Source organism: Homo sapiens, chromosome 2 (assembly GCF_000001405.40).
Source record: "Homo sapiens chromosome 2, GRCh38.p14 Primary Assembly".
In the NCBI taxonomy this organism is placed as follows: Eukaryota; Metazoa; Chordata; class Mammalia; order Primates; family Hominidae; genus Homo; species Homo sapiens.
In genome coordinates, this window is record NC_000002.12 from 106,132,544 (window position 1) to 106,156,242 (window position 23,699).

Here is a 23,699-nt window from a genome sequence, read left to right on the forward strand (position 1 = left end):
TAACAGCGGATCTCTCGGCAGAAACCCTACAAGCCAGAAGAGAGTGGGGGCCAATATTCAACATTCTTAAAGAAAAGAATTTTCAACCCAGAATTTCATATCCAGCCAAACTAAGCTTCATAAGTGAAGGAGAAATAAAATACTTTATAGACAAGCAAATGCTGAGAGATTTTGTCACCACCAGGCCTGCCCTAAAAGAGCTCCTGAAGGAAGTGCTAAACATGGAAAGGAACAACCGGTACCAGCCGCTGCAAAATCATGCCAAAATGTAAAGACCATCGAGACTAGGAAGAAACTGCATCAACTAACGAGCAAAATCACCAGCTAACATCATAATGACAGGATCAAATTCACACATAACAATATTAACTTTAAATATAAATGGACTAAATGCTCCAATTAAAAGACACAGACTGGCAAGTTGGATAAAGAGTCAAGACCCATCAGTGTGCTGTATTCAGGAAACCCATCTCACGTGCAGAGACACACATAGGCTCAAAATAAAAGGATGGAGGAAGATCTACCAAGCCAATGGAAAACAAAAAAAGGCAGGGGTTGCAATCCTAGTCTCTGATAAAACAGACTTTAAACCAACAAAGATCAAAAGAGACAAAGAAGGCCATTACATAATGGTAAAGGGATCAATTCAACAAGAGGAGCTAACTATCCTAAATATTTATGCACCCAATACAGGAGCACCCAGATTCATAAAGCAAGTCCTGAGTGACCTACAAAGAGACTTAGACTCCCACACATTAATAATGGGAGACTTTAACACCCCACTGTCAACATTAGACAGATCAACGAGACAGAAAGTCAACAAGGATACCCAGGAATTGAACTCAGCTCTGCACCAAGCGGACCTAATAGACATCTACAGAACTCTCCACCCCAAATCAACAGAATATACATTTTTTTCAGCACCACACCACACCTATTCCAAAATTGACCACATAGTTGGAAGTAAAGCTCTCCTCAGCAAATGTAAAAGAACAGAAATTATAACAAACTATCTCTCAGACCACAGTGCAATCAAACTAGAACTCAGGATTAAGAATCTCACTCAAAGCCGCTCAACTACATGGAAACTGAACAACCTGCTCCTGAATGACTACTGGGTACATAACGAAATGAAGGCAGAAATAAAGATGTTCTTTGAAACCAACGAGAACAAAGACACCACATACCAGAATCTCTGGGACGCATTCAAAGCAGTGTGTAGAGGGAAATTTATAGCACTAAATGCCTACAAGAGAAAGCAGGAAAGATCCAAAATTGACACCCTAACATCACAATTAAAAGAACTAGAAAAGCAAGAGCAAACATATTCAAAAGCTAGCAGAAGGCAAGAAATAACTAAAATCAGAGCAGAACTGAAGGAAATAGAGACACAAAAAACCCTTCAAAAAATCAATGAATCCAGGAGCTGGTTTTTTTGAAAGGATCAACAAAATTGATAGACCGCTAGCAAGACTAATAAAGAAAAAAAGAGAGAAGAATCAAATAGACACAATAAAAAATGATAAAGGGGATATCACCACCGATCCCACAGAAATACAAACTACCATCAGAGAATACTACAAACACCTCTACGCAAATAAACTAGAAAATCTAGAAGAAATGGATACATTCCTCGACACATACACTCTCCCAAGACTAAACCAGGAAGAAGTTGAATCTCTGAATAGACCAATAACAGGTTCTGAAATTGTGGCAATAATCAATAGTTTACCAACCAAAAAGAGTCCAGGACCAGATGGATTCACAGCTGAATTCTACCAGAGGTACAAGGAGGAACTGGTACCATTCCTTCTGAAACTATTCCAATCAATAGAAAAAGAGGGAATCCTCCCTAACTCATTTTATGAGGCCAGCATCATTCTGATACCAAAGCCGGGCAGAGACACAACCAAAAAAGAGAATTTTAGACCAATATCCTTGATGAACATTGATGCAAAAATCCTCAATAAAATACTGGCAAACCGAATCCAGCAGCACATCAAAAAGCTTATCCACCATGATCAAGTGGGCTTCATCCCTGCGATGCAAGGCTGGTTCAATATACGCAAATCAATAAATGTAATCCAGCATATAAACAGAGCCAAAGACAAAAACCACATGATTATCTCAATAGATGCAGAAAAAGCCTTTGACAAAATTCAACAACCCTTCATGCTAAAAACTCTCATTAAATTAGGTATTGATGGGACGTATTTCAAAATAATAAGAGCTATCTATGACAAACCCACAGCCAATATCATACTGAATGGGCAAAAACTGGAAGCATTCCCTTTGAAAACTGGCACAAGACAGGGATGCCCTCTCTCACCGCTCCTATTCAACATAGTGTTGGAAGTTCTGGCCAGGGCAATCAGGCAGGAGAAGGAAATAAAGGGTATTCAATTAGGAAAAGAGGAAGTCAAATTGTCCCTGTTTGCAGACGACATGATTGTTTATCTAGAAAACCCCATCGTCTCAGCCCAAAATCTCCTTAAGCTGATAAGCAACTTCAGCAAAGTCTCAGGATACAAAATCAATGTACAAAAATCACAAGCATTCTTATACACCAACAACAGACAAACAGAGAGCCAAATCATGAGTGAACTCCCATTCACAATTGCTTCAAAGAGAATAAAATACCTAGGAATCCAACTTACAAGGGATGTGAAGGACCTCTTCAAGGAGAACTACAAACCACTGCTCAAGGAAATAAAAGAGGACACAAACAAATGGAAGAACATTCCATGCTCATGGGTAGGAAGAATCAATATCGTGAAAATGGCCATACTGCCCAAGGTAATTTACAGATTCAATGCCATCCCCATCAAGCTACCAATGACTTTCTTCACAGAATTGGAAAAAACTACTTTAAAGTTCATATGGAACCAAAAAAGAGCCCACATCGCCAAGTCAATCCTAAGCCAAAAGAACAAAGCTGGAGGCATCACACTACCTGACTTCAAACTATACTACAAGGCTACAGTAACCAAAACAGCATGGTACTGGTACCAAAACAGAGATATAGATCAATGGAACAGAACAGAGCCCTCAGAAATAATGCCGCATATCTACAACTATCTGATCTTTGACAAACCTGAGAAAAACAAGCAATGGGGAAAGGATTCCCTATTTAATAAATGGTGCTGGGAAAACTGGCTAGCCATATGTAGAAAGCTGAAACTGGATCCCTTCCTTACACCTTATACAAAAATCAATTCAAGATGGATTAAAGATTTAAACGTTAGACCTAAAACCATAAAAACCCTAGAAGAAAACCTAGGCATTACCATTCAGGACATAGGCGTGGGCAAGGACTTCATGTCCAAAACACCAAAAGCAATGGCAACAAAAGCCAAAATTGACAAATGGGATCTAATTAAACTAAAGAGCTTCTGCACAGCAAAAGAAACTACCATCAGAGTGAACAGGCAACTTACAACATGGGAGAAAATTTTCGCAACCTACTCATCTGACAAAGGGCTAATATCCAGAATCTACAGTGAACTCAAACAAATTTACAAGAAAAAAACAAACAACCCCATCAAAAAGTGGGCGAAGGACATGAACAGACACTTCTCAAAAGAAGACATTTATGCAGCCAAAAAACACATGAAAAAATGCTCATCATCACTGGCCATCAGAGAAATGCAAATCAAAACCACTATGAGATATCATCTCACACCAGTTAGAATGGCAATCATTAAAAAGTCAGGAAACAACAGGTGCTGGAGAGGATGTGGAGAAATAGGAACACTTTTACACTGTTGGTGGGACTGTAAACTAGTTCAACCATGGTGGAAGTCAGTGTGGCGATTCCTCAGGGATCTAGAACTAGAAACACCATTTGACCCAGCCATCCCATTACTGGGTATATACCCAAATGACTATAAATCATGCTGCTATAAAGACACATGCACACGTATGTTTATTGCGGCATTATTCACAATAGCAAAGACTTGGAACCAACCCAAATGTCCAACAATGATAGACTGGATTAAGAAAATGTGGCACATATACACCATGGAATACTATGCAGCCATAAAAAATGATGAGTTCATGTCCTTTGTAGGGACATGGATGAAATTGGAAACCATCATTCTCAGTAAACTATCGCAAGAACAAAAAACCAAACACCGCATATTCTCACTCATAGGTGGGAATTGAACAATGAGATCACATGGACACAGGAAGGGGAATATCACACTCTGGGGACTGTGGTGGGGTCGGGGGAGGGGGGAGGGATAGCATTGGGAGATATACCTAATGCTAGATGACACGTTAGTGGGTGCAGCGCACCAGCATGGCACATGTATACATATGTAACTAACCTGCACAATGTGCACATGTACCCTAAAACTTAAAGTATAATAATAATAATAAAAAAAGAAAAAAAAAAAGAATGGAGAAGTCAAGAACACACACAAAAAAAAAAAAAAAAAAAAAGAAAGCCAAGTCTGAAAACCAGTGAGTTAATTTAGAAATAGAACCAATGCTTATGGGAAGAATAATCTTTTTGTAAAGAGAACTAACAAAACACAAAATCTTTAAAATTATTGATGGTCTGTCAAAATGCAAGTTCGCTGAGAGGATCTGTCCAAGTAAAAGGAAATCCTGCGACTGCTGTTCCCACCCCCACAAGTTATTCTGAGCTGAAAAACAGCTAAAAATAAAAGACAAACTAATATTGTATTATACAAATTGTAATTTAACAAGATACCTTTTAAAAATCAGTTCTCACAAAGTCCCATAATTCTAAGGCCAAGCTATCTTTTGCAGTTTCCAGCTAGGATCAGCACAGACCGGGTCAGTTCCTGCTACACCTACTTCCAAGCTCCAGGGCTGCAGGTAGAAGCAGCAGACCATTAGCCCCAGAAACAGGCACTGTGCTGCCTCCTCTGAAGATTCCTCCTCATACCCACTGCCACTTTGGAGCAGGACTGTGCCAAGTTGAAAACCAAATGAGGGCCAGGCACAATGGCTCACACCTGTAATCCTAGCACTTTGGGAGGCCGAGGTGGGTGGATCACCTGAGGTCAGGAGTTCGAATCCAGCCTGGCCAACATGGTGAAACCCGTCTCTACTAAAAATATAAAAAAAAAAAAATAGCTAGGTGTGGTGGCAGGCACCTGTAATCCCAGCTACTTGGGAAGGTGAGGCAGGAGAATCACTTGAACCTGGGAGGCAGAGGTTGCAGTGAACCAAGATGGCACCATTGCACCGCAGCATGGACAACAAGAGCAAAACTCCGTCTCAAAAAAATAAATAAAATTTAAAAATTAAAATTAAAATTTTAAAAAATGAACCTGGCCAGACCTTCAGAGCCGAGTACGACACCACAGAGCCCGCTCAGGTGTGCTAGACCTGGAGCCTGCTGCCACCTGACTTATACTCACGGGCATTTCTGCTTACACAGACAGGGTCACCCTACATTCCTCAAAGAGAGTATAAACAACTCTGTATGGGCTGTGATCTTACACAACAAATTATTCATCATTATCTTTACTCTTGAGGTGACAAGGTATGCAGGGAAAGACAGGAAACTGCATTAAAGGCTAAGAGGGAAGAAGTGTGCCTTGAGAGTACAGGAAGCCTCTCCGACATCAAACAGAAAGCCACTATCATTAACCTCACACTCTTCCCTCCTCGTCGTCTGCTCCAGTCCTGGCTTTCTTCTTCAAAGCTCAATCCAGACGTCAGTCTGTATGGGAAACCTTCTCACCATCCTTGGTCAGAAATAATCCCTTGCCTGCACCACTAGTCCACAACAGCTCAGCGCTGCCTTGTCCAGAGATTCACACATGCCTTCCTCACTAGACGATGAGCTCACTGAGCACAAGATGCAGGCCTTTCCCTTCCTGATGCTCTCCACAGTGTGGACTCTAGAGGGAGGGGAGGCCCCCTCGGTCACCCACAAATGCAGACTCCTGAGCCCACTGCAGGTCTCACCCTTCAGGATTTCCAGGCGGGCCTGGAAACCTTCCATTTACAACAAATACCCCTCCACGGTGCTCTGGCCCAGGCCAGTTTGGGAACAGGGCTCCACAAAAGTTAGCTGAGAGAAGAGATGAGCGTAAACTGGGGTTTTTCCATCCCCAAAGGCCATTCCATCTGGTTCAGTGTTTCTTCCTCACTGGACAGGTCAGTCCCACTGCTGCTCCGGAAGGCTGAGGGCCGCCCCATCAGACTGTCGAGACGTTCAGTTAAGTAGCGGCACTGCTGCATCCTCCCATTTGAGAGGAAACTGAAAACCCTATGAAAATCAAAGTTTCCCACCACCCCCCTCTCCTTTGAGAATGTGTTCTTCCTGTAACATTAACAATAACTCCAGTTCCTATCCTAAAAAGGGCACTGCAGCAGAGTCTGTTGGTTAAATAATCTGGTGAGAAATTCTGAAGGGGAGAGAAGAGGGGAAATTCAGAGCAGGGACAAATAACCAGCAATGAGAGGTGCTAGGTAAACAGTAAGTAACATTAATAACAACCGGCTTCGGAATATAAATAAAGCAGCAAGGTTAACCCTCACAGCCCAGGACAAAGGCCCTGGGAACATGTCAACTGCACAGTTCAGAGTACACCAAGCATGAGCCTGACGTTCCAAAATCCAAGCTGAGGTGGGGAGAGGAAGTCAAAGGGGGACAGAAAGGCAGCCCATTCATGGGTGCCCACAGTTGCTCCAGAGACCGCTAGAGACCCTGCCACGACCTTTCACATTTACAAGGCCACGTGCTGGGAGCTCAGCTAGAAAAATAGAAGTCTCAAGAAATGAGCCTAAAAGAGCTCCAATTAATGATCAGCAGCATTCCTACCAGAGAGCATGCAGGGTAATCTTATGTTGGGAAGTGGCTGGGTGAGGGCACAGCTGCGACTTACTCGGCCCTTCTATGAATCCTGACTGGGGAAACTCAACCAGTCAAACCACAAATGAACTCCCTAAAGGGTCTTAGGTTGAATTTCACTGTGCCCAAAACCCACATAAATGACACATACATAGGGAAGAAAAAAATCACCATAGGAGGAGAACAACTCGGGATAACCTGAAACCACTGTTCAGAACACATCGGAGAAATCGACATTTTCTTCTACCAAAGGGGAAATCCACATAAAAACTGACTGTAGCTTCCACTCCTTTGTTGATTTTCTTTTTTAATTTTGTCTTAAGTTAGTGACATAGTCTGTGTCAAGCCTCATTCTGTGCCACACCCATGCTGTATGAAACTGCCAAGGACCAGTTCAGGATTTGTACCATGAAACTAAAGACTATAGAAACACTAAAACGCAAAACAGTGGGTTAGTTCTTTCTGTGATAACTCACGCGATTATTTAGCACATACTAAATTCCCATCATAAAAGATACTTACAGTAGAATTCTCTTTTTCTACACTTGAGTCAGAGGTCTTACAGAAATACTCCCCAACGAGATGTCCCTCTCTGCAATGTGAAGTCTCACAGCATGGCCCTAGTCTTTGTCTCTAGAACCAGTATTTAGGATGGAAAACAGGAATGAAGAAGATACAGAACTTCTCAAAGTATAAAGACCAAATTTCTCTCGGCACAAAGAAGCAGAACAGCAAGATTTTCCCTTCATTTCATGTCAAATGTATTTACTTAGGGCAAAGGCTGCACACACTAGAGACTGGCTCAGCCCCCGGGAGCTGGGGTTGCCCGCCAGTGCTGTCGACTGTTCTGAGCGAGGGGCTCACCTTCCCTGTGAAGCCACCGCAGGGGAAAGAATTTTCAGTGTCCTAGGCTGCTCCATAGGAAGCCTCCAACAGCTCCAAATTAAACAGAGGGCGATCTCTAAGAGCCACCACTGCAGTTTTATTTACATTTGCAATATAAACTGAAAGCTGAGAAAAAAATTTCTAAATGATACTTCAACAAAAATATTCTAATCAGAGCTGCATGCTTTAAATGTCTACATAAACATGGACTCAATCCCCTTGGCAAACACTGTTTCCACCCCTCCTCTTTAGGGTGGGTGCCCAGGGTTGATGGCTTGGCTCTCCCATCTTCCCTCTCCTGGTGCCCCCACCCCCGGCCCTCCATAGCAACTGAGCATCCAGGTAAAAGGCAGGTAATGGAAAGGGCTCCATGCCTTGGTTTCCTCACCTATAAAATGAAGAAAATAGCTGCCTACTTCGCACGGGTATTGACATAATTAAACTTGCCAACCATAAACAGCGATTAGAATAGCATTTGGAATATAGTTAAGTGTTAGCTATGGTCACTTTCTTCTTTTATTTTCCTGGACCTCTTCAACAGAGATACTACAAGTTCCCGGTACTGGTCTTCCCACGACACAATGCACATTTCTGCCTTTTCCTGTTCCCCATGGAAAAGCTGGTCTCAAGATCCCTGTTTATACAGACGGTGGAAAAGTAAATTGGGACAGCATTTCAGGGAAGCACAGGTGCTCTGTAGCAGGACCCTGGGAAAGCCAGTGTACCATGAAAATGATGACAGAGACACAGATGTGTGGCTTTCTGAAGCATGGTTTATGATGGCCCCAAACTGCAATCAACCTAAAGATCCAACAACACAGGACTAAGGAAATTACAACATATTCATAAGAAGACGACTTGCTAACAAGTAATGCTGAAGGGAAAACCCGTGTCTTGGTAAAGAGATCTAGCTAGTATAGCCACAAAATGGAACACTAAGCAGCTGCCAAAAAAGGTCTCTATATATGATATAGAAAGATCACCAGGACACAGTAAGTGGAAGAAAATAAGATTCAGGACAATACATAATAGGTTATATAAAAAGGGAGAACTATAAATACCTATTTGTGTTAGCTGGGTCACATACAAACACTGCAGATGAATACAAAGAAAGGATCAACAGCTGTTTCCTGAGGAGAGCTGAGAACTGGCAAGAGGAAGACTTTAACTTTACAGTTTTATCTTTTCCATTTTTATGTTTATTTATTTATTTTTGAGACAGGGTCTTACTCTGTCACCCAGGCTGGAGTGCGGTGCAGTCATGGCTCACTGCAGCCTCAACTTCCTGGGCTCAAGTAATCCTCCCACCTCAGCCTCCTGGGTAGCTGGGACCACAGGTGCATGCCACCATGCCTGGGTAATTTTTGTAGAGACAGGGTTTCGCCATGTTGCCCAGGCTGGTCTGGAACTCCTAGGCTCAAGCGATCTGCCTGCCTCAGCCTCCCAAAGTACTGGGATTACAGACATGATCCACTGTGCCCGGCCATCTTTTCCATTTATTTTTTAAAATAATTGAACCATATAACCATATTACCTATTAAGCATGTTTTTAATTGGAAAAAAAATCACATTTAGGAAAACAACTGGATGTTAGCTTCAGTGTTTTTTTTTTGGTTTTTTTTTTTGAGATGAGGTCTTATTCTGTCACCCAGGCTGGAGTGCAACGGCACTATCTTGGCTCACTGCAACCTCCACATTCTGGGTTCTAGCGATTCTCATGCCTCAGCCTCCTGAATAGCTGCGACCACAGACATGCACAAGCATGCCCAGCTAACTTTTTGTATTTTTGGTAGAGACTGGGTTTCACCGCGTTGCCCAGGCTGGACTGAAACTCCTGAGCTCAAATGATCCACCCTCCTTGGCCTCCCAAAGTGCTGGGATTATAGGTGTGAGCCACCATGCCCAGCCAACTTCCTCAACAGTTTATAGAAAGATTAAAAATAATTTTCTATTTGCTTTGTAAAATACCTTTCTATATTTTCTTTAACATGTATGTATTATTTTCATCATCAGGAAAAAAGTTTCTTTTGAAAAGAGAAAAATATTTCAGATTCTCTTCCATCTCATTCTTTATCAAATATATAAACAAGAAACCTAATTCTTTCATTTAGTTCAAAGTATGTTTAATCTCTCTTGAGATTTTTCCTTTGTCTCATATCTTATGTAGAAGTTTGTTGTTTCATCACTAAATATTTTTGTAATTTTCCAGATATCTTTCTGTTACTAATTTCTAGTGTAATTCCACTCTGGTCTGAGAGGACACTTTATAGCACTCTATTCTTTCAGGTTGGCTGAGGTGTCTTTTATGGCTGAGAATATGATCAGTCTTGGAGAATGTTCCATGTGGGCTTCAAAGGAAGGTGCATTCTGGCATTGTTGGATGAAGTGGGCATTGTGAGGGCAGAAAGAGTGAAGAGATGGAGGGCAGCAAGGGGGAAATTATCAAGGGCACAGAAGACCTGATGCCAAGGTTGAGGACCCGCTGAAGGAGAAAGTGAAAAACAGGCTTCAAACCACAGAGGCAGAGAAGCATCTTATGCTCTCCCAACATAAATGCCAACTGAGGGAACGCAATACTCTGAGCAAAGGACAAAGCACCAGTCATTTATTGTATGACTTCATTCAATGTGTGGGTGTGTGGGTGTGTGTGTTTGCATGTATGTGTGTGTGTGTGTGTGTGTGTCCTACACACAGTCACAGAATTGGCAGAAATGGCCTAGAGCAGCTTTGGTATCAAAGCTCGCAGTTAAAGAAGATAATTTACTTATTAAAACACCATTTTTACTAAGTTCTGGCTTCTCAGTGGTACTGAAATTATATAAACAATAGTGTCATAAAATAAATGTTTCTTGCCATGTGCTAAAAAAGAGAAGAGAGTAGTAATATTAATAGGTATCATTTGGGGGAGGTCAAGGTGGGCGGATCATGAGGGCAGGAGATGGAGACCATCCTGGCTAACAGGGTGAAACCCCGTCTCTACTAAAAAATACAAAAAATCAGCCCAGCATGGTGGCAAGTGCCTGTAGTCCCAGCTACTCAGGAGGCTGAGGCAGGAGAATGGCGTGAACCCGGGAGGCAGAGCTTGCAATGAGCTGAGATCGTGCCACTGCACTCCAGCCTGGGCAACAGAGAGAGACTCCGTCTCAAAAAAAAAAAAAAAAAAAAAAAAAAAAAAGGTATAATTTGGGCAGCACTTAGTGAAATGAGGGCCCAGTGCTGTGCTAAGTCCTCACAGTAGTTTTCTATTGCTGCCTAATCAAATTTAGAGGCTCAAAAAATATCCATTCACGATCCGATCTGACAGGTCTACAGGACCGGGCACAGTATGGCTCAGCTGGTTCTCAGCTCTGCCTGCCCCCAGGCAGAAATCAAGGTGTCAGCAGGGCTGTGTTCCTTTCTTCAGAGGATGATTCAGGATGACAGCAAAATTCAGTTCCCTGAGGCTGCAGGACTGAGGTCTCCTTACAGGCTCTCAGCAGGGAGCCATTCTCAGCTTCCAGAGGCTGCCAACACTCTCCCGCACATGGCTCCTTCAAAGCCAGCCAGGGTAGGTCAGGTCCCTTGCACACTGCAAACCTCTCCAGCTTCCCTTCTGCCTGGTCTCCCCGCGGTATCTCTTCTACCCAGTCTCTCTACCTGACTCTTCCATTCTCTGTTGCTGCCTTTGACGGTTCATGTGACTATGTGGGGGCACACCCAGATAATCCAGGATCATCCTCATTTTAAAGCCAGCTGGTTCATAACCTTGATTCTATCAGCAAAGTCCTGTGACAGCACCACCTAGCATCTTGGGTTGAACAATGGGAAAGGGCATCTTAGCAGGGAACTGTGAGAATCTGCTTGCCAGGCCCTGTCACATGTATGACCTCAGTTAACCCCACAGCAATCCCAGGAGGAAATCCAAGAGGAAAGTGAGCCCACTGAGCTATAATCTACATAGCCTGTTATACTTTACAAAAACTACAGCTTCACTCCAAAATGAATCCTAAACAGATTACATAATTAAACGTTTAAAAATGAAGCAAAAAACCAACCAACAAAATTAACACCATGGCTGCTTTCTAAATATTAGATTAAATATTCATCTCATCTTGGAACGGTTAGAGCAGAAAGAGAACAGAAGAAACAGCAAGAAGAATATGAACAGATGAAACTATGTTATAAAATGTCACTCAAACGAAAAGGCAAAAACTTTTTGCCTTTGTGGGAAAAATGCTAAATACAAGCCCAACAGTTAACATTCCTATTACAAAGAACTCATACTAAAAGAATATTTTTAAAATGGACTAACAAAACCATTGGTATTTCTCTGGTGAATTAACATGTTAAATTCTAACCATATTTAGTAACCAAAGAAATGTACATTGAACCAATGGTTTTCTATCAAATTAGCAAGATCAAGGGGTTGGCAGATTGGGTGCTGGTGAGGACCTGCTTCCTGGTTCATATATGCATCTTCTCGCCACGTCCTCACACGGTGGAAAGGCCAACGGGGTTTTCCCAGGCCTCTTTTATAAAAACACTAATCTCATTTGTGACGACTCTGTCTCCATGAACTCATCACCTCCAAAGGCCCCACCTCCTAATACCATCACTGTGGGGCTTGGGATGCCAACATATGAATTTGGGGTGACACCAACATTCAGACCACAGCAGATGTGTACTACAGGAAAGTTACTTCAACAGGTCCATGAAGTTCAGGACCAGGGGTGCCACGTAGGAGAGAAGACGGCTATTCACACTGTTATAACCACTCGTTATCACACAGACTAGGACGGCACCTCATACATATTGAGACATTTCAAAAATAAAACCCAACATAGCTTTCAATGTGCTGAGTCAAACAGCTTACCCTCAGGAATCCCGCAGCTCTGGCAAGGCCACCTGCGGAGCTCTGAATAATAACAATGTGCAGTTTTCACTCACCCTCGATGTAGAGGGGCTCCACCACGTCGTGGTTAATCAACTCGAAGTTCTCATGTCCGATCCAGTGCTCCACGTTTCTCTTCCTGCCCGTGAAGAAATTGTCCACCACGGTCACCTCGTGGCCGTCCATCATGAGTTTGTCAGTTAGATGGGAGCCCACGAACCCTGCGCCTCCTGTTATCTGCATCCGGACAGCGTGTGCAGAGCATTCCCAGAAAAAGCACATGAGAACACAGTGAGGACCAGCTCCACGGAGAGACATCTCTGGTGCAGCCACGACTTAAAACTCAGGAGCAAGGCGGGGAAGGAAGACAGCAAAGGTTTTAAGGTAGCATCTTGACTCTTACTGCAGAACAAAGAGGTCATACTATCTGTAAACTCCTAAGCAGCCTAAAATTTCAAACTACCAGTCTTGGAAGAATACAGAAAAATCATAGTTACAAATTTCAAAATGTCTTTGCTGACTGAGAATTTCCCATTAGTCAAAGGTTCTTGTTTTATAACAAATGGGATGCTGGACATAGCTCACGTGGCTTTAATATTACTGCTGAGAACTTTAAAAATTACTTTATAGAAAAAACGATTAGCAAAATGCAGAGATTTGGTGAACTACCAAGAAAAAAAAACTTAATATTTAAGTTAGATTCAAAAACTGCAGGAAAAACAAATATCTTTTAAATTGTTTATGAGAACAAATTAATAAGCAATACATGCTGTTTGTAGACTAAAGCCCTAAACGCCTAAGTCCACTGTGTGGTTAATTTCTGAATGGTGATGTGAACCCAGTGTGGTATACACTCCCAGCCACAGAGCACGATGAGGCAGCTGTGAGGGGTCTTGACGGTAACTCAGTAATAACAAAACCTAGACCCCTGCAAAGGTGAAAAGTCAACTGCGCTTGAAAAATACTTTTAAGTTGAACACAGGTATTTTATTCAAATTAAATGGTGTAACTGGAGGAGGATAAAGGGAATTTCATCTGGGGGAAGGTTATAGGCGGTGGGAGTGAAAAGAATAGGCTCAGAAAACAGACGTGCCATGCACAACTCAATTCTCTAGCCTGCTGTATCCTGTTCTCCACTCTGCCTTCTCTTCACCAAAATTCTCATTCATTTCACCCTTCTGTTTCAAACGGAAAGTATTAATAGGAAGACAGCAATCCTTTCTACCTAAAATAAAAGGTATACAAACTCCTAGGTCTATGGTTTTAAAACATGTAATTCTCCATGAAACTCCTGTTTAAAATAAATGAAATCTCACACACGATGAAGTATTCACCACGGTGAGAGAGTAAAGCCACCTGGATTTGAGTGGAGTGGTAGCTCATGCCTGTAATCCCAGCACTTTGGGAGGCCGAGACAGGTGGATCACTTGAGATCAGGAGTTCAAGACCAGTCGGGCCAACATGGTGAAACCCTGTCTCTACTAAAAATACAAAAAATTAGCTGGGCGTGGTGGCACACTCCTGTAATCCCAGCTAGTTGGGAGGCTAAGGCAGAAGACTCACTTGAACCCAGGAGGCGGAAGTTGCAGTGGATCGTACCACTGCACTCCAGCCTGGGTGACAGAGAAGACTCCATCTCAAAAAAAAAAAAAAAAAAAAAAAAGAAGCCATCTGGATGAAAAAGATCAAAAATGGCAGAGGAGAAGTAAGGGGAGGCTATAAACTAAAAATGAAATTTGGGTTGGGTGCAGTGGCTCATGCCTGTACCCAACACTTTGGGAAGCCAAGGTGGCTGGATCATTTGACGCCAGGCGTTCAAGACTAGCCTGCGCAGCATGGTGAAACCCCGTCTCTACTAAAAATACAAAAATTAGCTACACGCCTGTAATCCCAGCTACTATGGTGGCTGAAGCACAAGAATCACTTGAACCTAGGAGGTGGAGGTTACAGTGAGTTGAGATCACACCACTGCACTCCAGCCTGGGTGACAGAGCGAGACTCTGTCTCATAAATAAATAAATATCCTAAGTCCCCCAACTGAGTGGGCCCCCTCTTGGCCAAACGGAACCCCAGAGAAACCTGAAAAGCTGAGTTCCCAGCAGTGATGTGAAAGGAGATTGGACATGCCTCACTATACTTTCTCTTTTGGAATTTAGACACAACTGACCAACGTTAATATTAAAACAGAGATCATAAACAGGACCTAGGGTCGTGCCAGACAGGAGCTAAGTCACATCCCTCCAAGTCATTCTGACCCAGTGTATTGGTGAACAGACTTCCTTGTCATAACTTAGATTCCTTTCTGCTGACTCCAAAGTTTTACACAAAGATTTACTCCTTTAACCAATTACAAAGTAAAAAATCTCTAAAGCCAGGGAGGTCAAGGCTGCAGTGAGTGGCAATTGTGCCACTGCACTCCAGCCTGTGTGACAGAGAGAGACCCTGTCTCAAAATAAATAAAATAAAATACAGAATCTCTTAACCCGCCTATACCTGTGAGCCCCCACTTCAAAATAGCCTGTCTTTTTGGGCCAAACCAATGTAAAAGCCCTATATATTGATTTATACCTCCTTGTAACTTCTGCCTCTCTAAAATGTATAAAACTAAACTAATCCGCCTGCCTCGGGCACACTTACTCAAGGCTTCTTGGTTTTGTGTTTCCTGGGGCTGCAGTTACTCATACTGGATCATAATACACCTCTAAAATATTTTAGAGTTTGGTTTTTCAGTTAACAAGGCCAACCTCAAGAATAACCATCCCTTAACCACCACATAGATATTACATATGCTCTGATGAAATGCAAATCAAATGGTTAAGACAGGATGGGTGAGACCAGGCATCCTCATGCTCGATAGCTTTCATTTGGCTTTACCAACAGCACCATTTTCCAAATCCCCTTTGCCTTCAAGATAAGAAACTGACACCCAGAGAAGTTACGTCTTTGACTAAAATCCTCAGAGATCACTAGCTGGGACACACTAAAGCTACAGTCTTTCTAATTACACGCTCTCTACTGCCTGTCAATTTGTCTGGTTCGTGTTTCATCTTAAGAGCTCCCACATTCTACTGCTATACCTGAACAATGACTATGAAAAACGATTTTCCAGAAAAATAATTGAAATTCAAAGTTGACTCACCACTAGAGCTTAACTCACGGGATGAGATTTCATTTTATCTTCACGTTATTGCATTTTTTCCAAGTTTTCCATGATTTTTACATTTAAAAACTTGCAACTTTTAAAAAGAAATGTAACCCCTTTTAACATAACTGTTTCTCTATATGCAAATATTTCTGAAAACAAAATGTTCAGTGGCACTCTAACATTATCTCTGCACCCAAAATACCTGGCAGACAGTTCTGAGATATCAGAGATGCAGCGTATTAAATTACACATGATCATCTCCAACATCTCACTAGTCTTAGTACTGACGTAAAATTGTTGGAAGCACCTTAGCTTGACTAAAATGCACTGGAATTTTTTTTTCTGAAGTAATTTCCTTCTACCTAAAATACTTAAGATTTATATAATATAGCTGGATGGTTATGCAATTTTTTATCCTAATCAATGTTAGCCCATTAGGCAAGTGTTTCAAATAGAAACAAATTTGGTGAAAGCTTAGCACTTACAAAGCTCTATCAGGAACACTAATCACCAAACCCAAGGATATTCTTTGAATAACAAGGAGCTAATACCCAAAAGAGAACAGGAGAAAAGAAGTAAGACCTCTTACACTGAGATGGATTAGAACTTACACGGCTTTGCATGGCTTTCCAGTATAGGGGTTTGTCTCAGTGTGCTTTCTTGCTCGCTCTTGTGGGTGCCAATAGGCAGCTAAAGTGGTCTAGTTCAAGGTCAGCAGTCAAACTCATGATGCTTAGCAAATTAGCAAAAAATCAAAAAATGTATTTCAAAGCAAGTCTCCTCTTTCTGTTGAAGCTGTCCTAAGGCTTACCAATTTACTGAAAAGGCTTTAAGTTATAGCAACAATATACCAGACTCACATGCCAAATGCCTCAGAAATGTGCTTAACCTATGAGATGGCAGATGAGGGGAAAAAAAAAACTAAGTCTGTTTGCTGTGGTGATGTGTAAAGCAAAATAAATTCTATAATACTCAGCATCGACAGGAAGATCATTCCATGTGCACATAATAAAATTCATGGCAAGATTTTGCAGCATTCCTGTAACAGTGCTGCTGTGCTTTTAACGTGTCCACCAAAAGCACATTTTGGTAATTTAATCCCCAGTGCAACAGTGTTAAAAGGTGGGGTGATTAGGCCATGAGGTGAAGTAAATGGATTAATGCCATTATCAGAGGAGTGAGTGTGTTATCGTGGAAGTGTGTTCCACATAGAAGCACGAGTTCAGTCCCTTTGGTCTCTCTCTTGCTCTCTCTTTACCCATCCACTACGTGATGACATAGCAAGAAGACCCTCACCAGGTCACAACCCCTTGATCTTGGACTCCCCAGCCTCCAGAACCATGAGCCAATAAATTTGTTATAAATTACCCAGTCTTAGGTACTCTGTCATAGCAGCACAAAAAGGACTAGGACAGAAAATGGGTACCAGAGAAGTGGGATGATGCTTATACAAACACCTGAAAATGTGGAAAAAGCTTTGGAACTAGGTAATGAGTAGAGGCTGGAAGAATCTGGAGGTGCATGCTAGAAAAAGCCTAGACTTCTGTGAATGGAGTGTTAAAGAAACAGTGGTGAGGCCTCAGAAGAGAAGAGCTGTGGGGGAAGTCTAGAACTTCTTAGAGATTACCTGTAACATGGTTGTGATCAGAACAATTGTGGAAATATGGACAGTAAAGGCCATTCTGATGAGGTCTCAGATGGAAATGAGGAACATACCACTGGAAACTGGAGTGAAGGCTATCCTTGTTACAAAGTGGCAAAGAACTTGGCTGAAATGTGTCTGTGTCCTCTGGCTTTATGAAGGCAAAATTTACAAGCCATGAGCTAGGACATCTGGTGGAAGAAATTTCTAAGCAAAATATTAAAAGAATTGCATGGCTTCTTTTAACTACATAGAGTAAAACAAGGGAAGAGAAAAATGATTTAAAGACAGATTGTATAACTAAAAGGGAAACAGAACAAAAAAAATTTTTTAAGTCCCCAGCCTTACCATATAAAGAATGAAAAAGTGTGCAAGAGTGCAGACAATTGACCCTTTGATACACAGAGTAGTATGGTTAGAAGGAAGCCAGGTTCTGTCCCTTAAGACAATGGGAGAATGACCCTGAAGGCATTTCAGAAATCCTCCAGGCAAGCTGAGACCTTGAGGCCAACGTTTCCAGAGAGGTGCTCGAGGTCACCATTCATTGCCCTGTGCTGCCACAAGTCTCTGCTCCCCTTAGCATTCCTCAGCCAGCACAGCTGTGGCTCCGGCCAGTCCAGGTGCAGCTCAAGCTACCGCTCCGGAAGATATAGGCTGTAAACCTTGGTGGTGTCCACGTGGTGCTCTAATTCTGCAAGTGTGCAGAATGCAAGAGCCATGAGAACATGGCTTCTTCCAACTAGATTTCAAAGGATGTCACAAATAGCCCGGGACAGGGTGGGAGGTGGCGGGGGGTAGGCAGAGACTCATTGCGGTGATACAGCTGCCACAAAGACTCCGGAACTGTAAAGCTACCAGCATGTAACACCAGCCTAAGGAAGTTACAGGCACAGAACTCCAACTCGCGAGAGCAGCCAGGTGGACTGAGACCAACAAAGCCACAAGGCTGGGGCTCCCAGAGGCCTTGGAGGTCCAACCCCCACCCCAGCGTACCCAGGACTCAGGCCATGGAGTCAAGAAAGATTATCTGGAGCATTACGATTTGATCTTGTTTGCCCTGTTGGGTTTTGGACTTACTTGGGACCAGTTACCCTGTTCTTTCCTATTTCTCTCTTTTGGAATGGGAATGTTTATCCCACGCCTGTTCCACCATTGTATTTTACAAGTAGATAACTTGTTTTGATTTCACAGGCCCATAGCTGAAGGGGAATTTGCCTTAGGATGAATCGTGTCTTGAATTTTTCCCAAATGATGTTTAGATGAGACTTTGGACTTTCGAGTTGGTGCTGGAACAAGTTAAAATGCTGGGCTATTGGGATGAAATAAATACATTTTGCATGTAAGAAGGACATAAATTCTAGAGACGGCAGCCAGAATGCTATGGGTTTGAATGTGTACCCCCAAAATCATGTGCTGGAAACTTAATTCCCAATGCAACAGTATTGGGAGGTGAGGCCTAATGAGAAGTTATTGGGCTATGAGGGCCCCACCCTCATGAATGAATTTACGTCATTATTGCGGCAGTGGGTTATGTGTAAAAGAATGAGTTAGGTCCCCTTTGTCTCTCTCATCCACTCTCTGCCCTTCTGCCACGGGATGACGCAGCAAGAATGCCCCTTGATATTGCACTTGCCAGCCTCCAGATCATAAGCCAATACCTTTCTACTTATAAATTACCCAGTCTGTGGTAATCTGTTACAGCGGCACAAAACAAACTAAGAAAAGTAGACTATCAGATTTGTGATCAATCTGACAACATGGCAACAAAACATTAAAAAAATTAACTTTTCTATGCTACTTGAGACACTTATTTCCAAATTCATGCTCAAATGCATATACCTTTTTGATGCAATAGAAATAACCTCAAAAGAGGGACATACAAGTATTAACAGACTTCAGAGTCTGCTCACAGCGAGAGTTATGTAAGCCATCTCAAAAAGGCAAGAGACTTCTATAACTTCCAGAAGAACAGAGAGATTATATGGGGTAACAGTCTAATATCGATTCAGGAGTGACAATAATATTTTAGGGATGCACAGTACTACAGCCTAGGTGATGGGTAAAAGAACAAAACAACCTGTGTACTAGTCATTTCAACATCAAGGTCATATATAAATCATTTCTTGTAGAATTGCAGTGTAAAGTGCTCCACAGACCTGTTCCCCAAGGAAACAACCATAAGTGGTCCAAATTATTTTTTTAAATAACCATTAAAAGTCTCTGGAAATTGTGCTAAGCACGTACAGCAAATGAAGTAACATGTATTCAAGAAAATATAAAATTCACTTTGGGAGGCTGAGGTGGACAGATAGCCTGAGGTCAGGAGTTCAAGACCAGCCTGGCCAACATGGTGAAACCCCACCTCTACTAAAAATACAAAAATTAGCTGGGCATGGTGGAGCACACCTGTAATCCCAGCTACTTGGGAGGGTGAGACAGGAGAATCGCTTGAAATCAGGAGGTGGAGGTTGCAGTGACCCAAGATCATGCCACTGCACTCCAGCCTGGGTGACAAAGTGAGGAAAGAAAAGAAAGAAAAGAAAGAAAAGAAAGGAAGGAAGGAAGGGAGGGAGAGAGGGAGGGAGGGAGGGAGGGAGGGAAAAGAAAAGAAAGAAAAGAGAGAGAGAAAGGGAGAAAGAAAGGAAGGAAAGGAAGGAAAGGAAAGAAAGAAAAGAAAAGAAAAAAGAAGAGAAAAGAGGAAAGAAAGAAAATATAAAATTAAGTAAGAACAGCAAGAGTCTGCAACACTTGAGTCCATCCCCACAGTTTAGAGTGGGGAATGTGCTGGGTGTGGCCAAGAAAATGAGAACCCCACTCAAAAGATATGGTATCTCAACAGGAAGGGCCACTTAGCAGTACTTCCTAGACAGGGAAGGCTGAGAATAATAGGATTCCAGTCACGGTTGCCCCAACTTGCTTAGAAGGGAGAAGTTCCATGCCAAGAGGGGCAAGGAAAAAAAATCAGGGGCTACAGCACCCTGATTATAAAACAGAGGTGTTGCTCCCACCCCAGCACCAGGGCAGTGGTTCAGAGGTTTTCCTGGGGGACAGAGGTACTGAAAACAGTGCACTCAAAAGCTCTCCCTAAAGGGAGTTGACTTTATTTGAAAGAGAAAGTCAAATATAAGGGTGCTCTCAAGAACAAGGGAGATGCAGATGGTAAGCAATAAATAGAAGGCAATAGATCTATGAGAATAAAAAGCTAAATCCGAGGCCAGCTTGTTTAACAGAGAGAACCAAGGAGAGGACACTTAAGAAACCTCCTGGGGTCAGAACAAATCTCAAAGACTGGTCTCAAAATCTACCCCTGCCAAGGGGATAGAATTTAACTGGATCAGGCTGAAGAGCAATTTAAAACCCACAGCATTGTTGAAAAATAAAGCAATTAGCTAGCAACCACTGCAGCCTAACAGCTGGGTGAGATACTGCACAGGCTTAATAGAGAAATCAGGGAAAGAGACTGTCAGCATGAGCCTGTTAGACCCACCATCATCCCAGGGGGTTTGGCCAAGGCTACATCCTCCAAGGAACAACAGTTAAAGCTTCACACTGGAGTGGCGGGGACGGAATAGGAAACACTTCACTAAAGTAGACCAGAGAAGTCACTAAACAAATAAATAAATAAATAAAATAAAACAAGTTGGGGAAGGTGGGGGTTGGGATGAGGGCACAGTATCCAGAAGTGCTACAATATACTACCTAAAATGCCCAGTTTTCTACAACAAATTACAAGACATGCAAAGAAACAGAAATGGGTGACCCATAAACAGAAAAAACAACAAAGCAATAAAAACTGTCTGTGTGAAGTCCCAGGTGTTGGATATAACAAAGACACCAAAGCAACCACTGTAAATATTAGGTTGGTGCAAAAGCAATTGCAGTTTTTGCCATTAAAAGTTATGGCAAGTGTTCAAAGAACGAAAGGAAACCATGCTTAAAGAAGTACATAGATAATAAAGAGAGATTACAAAATAGAAACAAATTGAATTCTGGAGTTGAAAAATACCACAGTTGAAACTAAAAATTCAACAAAGGGATTCAACAGTCAATTGGAACTAGGCTAAAGAATCAGCAAACTTGGACTGAAAGGGCTTATGCAACCCAAAGATCAGAGGAAATGCAGGAAACTAAACAGAGCCTCAGACAAATACAGGACACCAATAAGTGCATCAACATGCATGCTGCACTGGGAGTATCAGAAAAGAGAAAGGAATACAAAATATATTCAAAGAAATAATGGCTGAAAACTCCCCAGAATTGATGAACATATAAATGTATATATTCAAGAAGTTCAATGAACTGCAATTAGGATAAACACAAACAAAAATAGATGCACACAGACACATCATTCTAGAAATCCCGCAAACCAAAGACAAGATAAGATTTTGAAAACAGATGTACTAGGTTGGATACTGTCCTACAAAGTTTATGTCTGTCCCAGAGCTTCAGAATGTGACCTTATTTGAAAATAGAGCCCCTACAGACATATTTAGTTAAGATAAGGTTATACTGGATTAGGGTGGGACTTTAATCCAATACTAAAGGCATGCAAAGACCCATGTGCTGCTGGAGGCAGAGACTAGAGTGATGCCTCTACCAGCCAAAGAACACCAAGGATTGCTGGCAATACGAGAAGCTGGGAGAAAAGCATGGAAAAAACTCCCCTCAGAGCCTTCAGAGGGGCATAGGCATGGCCCTGCTGACATCTTGATTTCAGACTTCTAGCTTCTAGAACTGTGAGGGATTAAATTTATGTTGTTTTAAACCACTCAGATGGTGGTAACTGCAAGTCCTAGGAAATTCATATGGCAGAAAAAGAAAAATGACTTGTCACATGTAAGGGAACCCCAGTATGATTAACTGCTGGCTCATTACAACAAACAATGGAGAAAGCAGTGGATGGCACATGTATTAGTTCATTTTGTGCTGCCATAAAGGAATACCTGAAGCTGGGTGATTTATAAAGCAAAGAGGTTTATTTGGCACACGGTCCTGCAGGCTGTACATGAAGCATGGCTCCAGCATCTGCTTCTGCTGAGGGCTTCGGAGAGCTTTCAATCATAGTAGAAGGCTAAGGGGGAGCAGGCATGTCACGTGGCAAGACAGGGAGAAGAAGGGGGTCCCATACTCTTTTTTAACAATCAGGTCTTGTGTGAACTCATTACAGTGGGGTGTGCACCAAGCCATTCATGATGGATCTGTCCCCATGACCCAAATAATTCCCACTAGGCCCCACCTCCAACACTGGAGATCAAATTTCAACATGGGATTGGGAGGCTGGAACAAACATCCGAACTCTATCAACATATTTAAAGTGTAAAAATAAACTGGCAGTCAAGAATCTTATATACGACCAAAAATAAGATATCCCTAGATAAACAAAAAATGAGAGAGTTCATTGCTAGCAGACCTACCACACAAGAAATACTAAAGGATGTTCTTTAGGCTGAAAGCAAGTGACCCCAAATAGTAAATGGATTCCAGAAGGAAAAAGAAGGGAAAGGTACCAAATAGGAAATTAGTTAATTACAAGGCATTCGCTCAATGACTCACCTAGAGCAAATTCTAGTCCTGCAAGCTCCATTTGTGGTAAGTGGCCTACACAGATGAACACAAATACTTATCTTTGTTATAACTACCTACAGTATTCAGTATAGCAACATGCTGTACAGATTTGTAGCATATGAGCAATAGGTCATACCATGTAGCCTAAGTGTGTAGCAGGCTGTACCATCGAGGTTTGTGTAAGTCCACTCTATGATGCTCACAGAACAACAACAAAAACACTTAATAATGCATTTCTCAGAATGTATCCCCACTGTTAAGTGATGCTTGACTGTACATTTACGGTAAAATTATTTTCAACAAGGGTGCCAGGAAAATTCAATGGGCAATGAATAGTCTTTTCAACAAATTGTGCTGGACAACCGGACAGCCATATCCAAAAGAATGATGACCTAATACCCTATTCAAAAATTAGCTCAAAATGGATCACAGGCCTAAATTTAAGAACAAAATCTATAAAACTCTTAGGAAAAAAACATGGTAAATCTTTGTGCCCTTAGTTTAGGCAAGATTTCCTAAATATGACATCCAAGTACAAGCAGCAAGAGAAAAAAACAGACTTTATCCATATTTAAAGCATTTGTGCTTCAAAGAATGTCATCAAGAAAGTAAAAAGAGAACCCACAGAATGAGATAAAATATTTACAAATAATATACCTGATAAGAAACTTGAATTAAGAATATATAAAGAACTTAATTCAATGATGAAAAGAAAAATAACCCAATTAAAGAATAGGATAATATCTAATAGAAATTT

The 23,699-nt window shown here is 41.9% G+C and overlaps 1 protein-coding gene across 15 annotated transcripts in view, besides 1 other annotated feature; it reads right to left on the bottom strand.

Annotated features, from left to right (window-relative positions):
* The window catches only part of UXS1 (UDP-glucuronate decarboxylase 1), a 100,991-nt gene that overhangs the window by 39,233 nt on the left and 38,059 nt on the right, over positions 1 to 23,699 (bottom strand). For 12 of the 15 annotated variants that reach the window (NR_045607.2, NM_001377505.1, NM_001377508.1 and 9 more), the window contains one exon: positions 12,647 to 12,827. The exons of 1 other annotated variant lie outside the window; for it this stretch is intronic. Coding sequence is in view for 11 of the 14 variants with exons in the window: in NM_001377505.1 (NP_001364434.1) it covers positions 12,647 to 12,827 (181 nt within the window). In the remaining 3 variants the exon portion in view is untranslated. Of the gene's footprint in view, positions 1 to 5,631; positions 6,339 to 12,646; positions 12,933 to 23,699 lie in introns of those variants that run through there. 2 more of the 15 variants (NR_165308.1, NM_001253876.2) reach the window with 2 other exon arrangements.
* Positions 11,030 to 11,324: a silencer, noted in NCBI's record as "tiled region #936; K562 Repressive non-DNase unmatched - State 15:Elon". NCBI's record gives its function as "represses a minimal TATA promoter and a strong SV40 promoter by Sharpr-MPRA in K562 cells {active_cell/tissue: K562}" and the evidence as "EXISTENCE:reporter gene assay evidence [ECO:0000049][PMID:27701403]".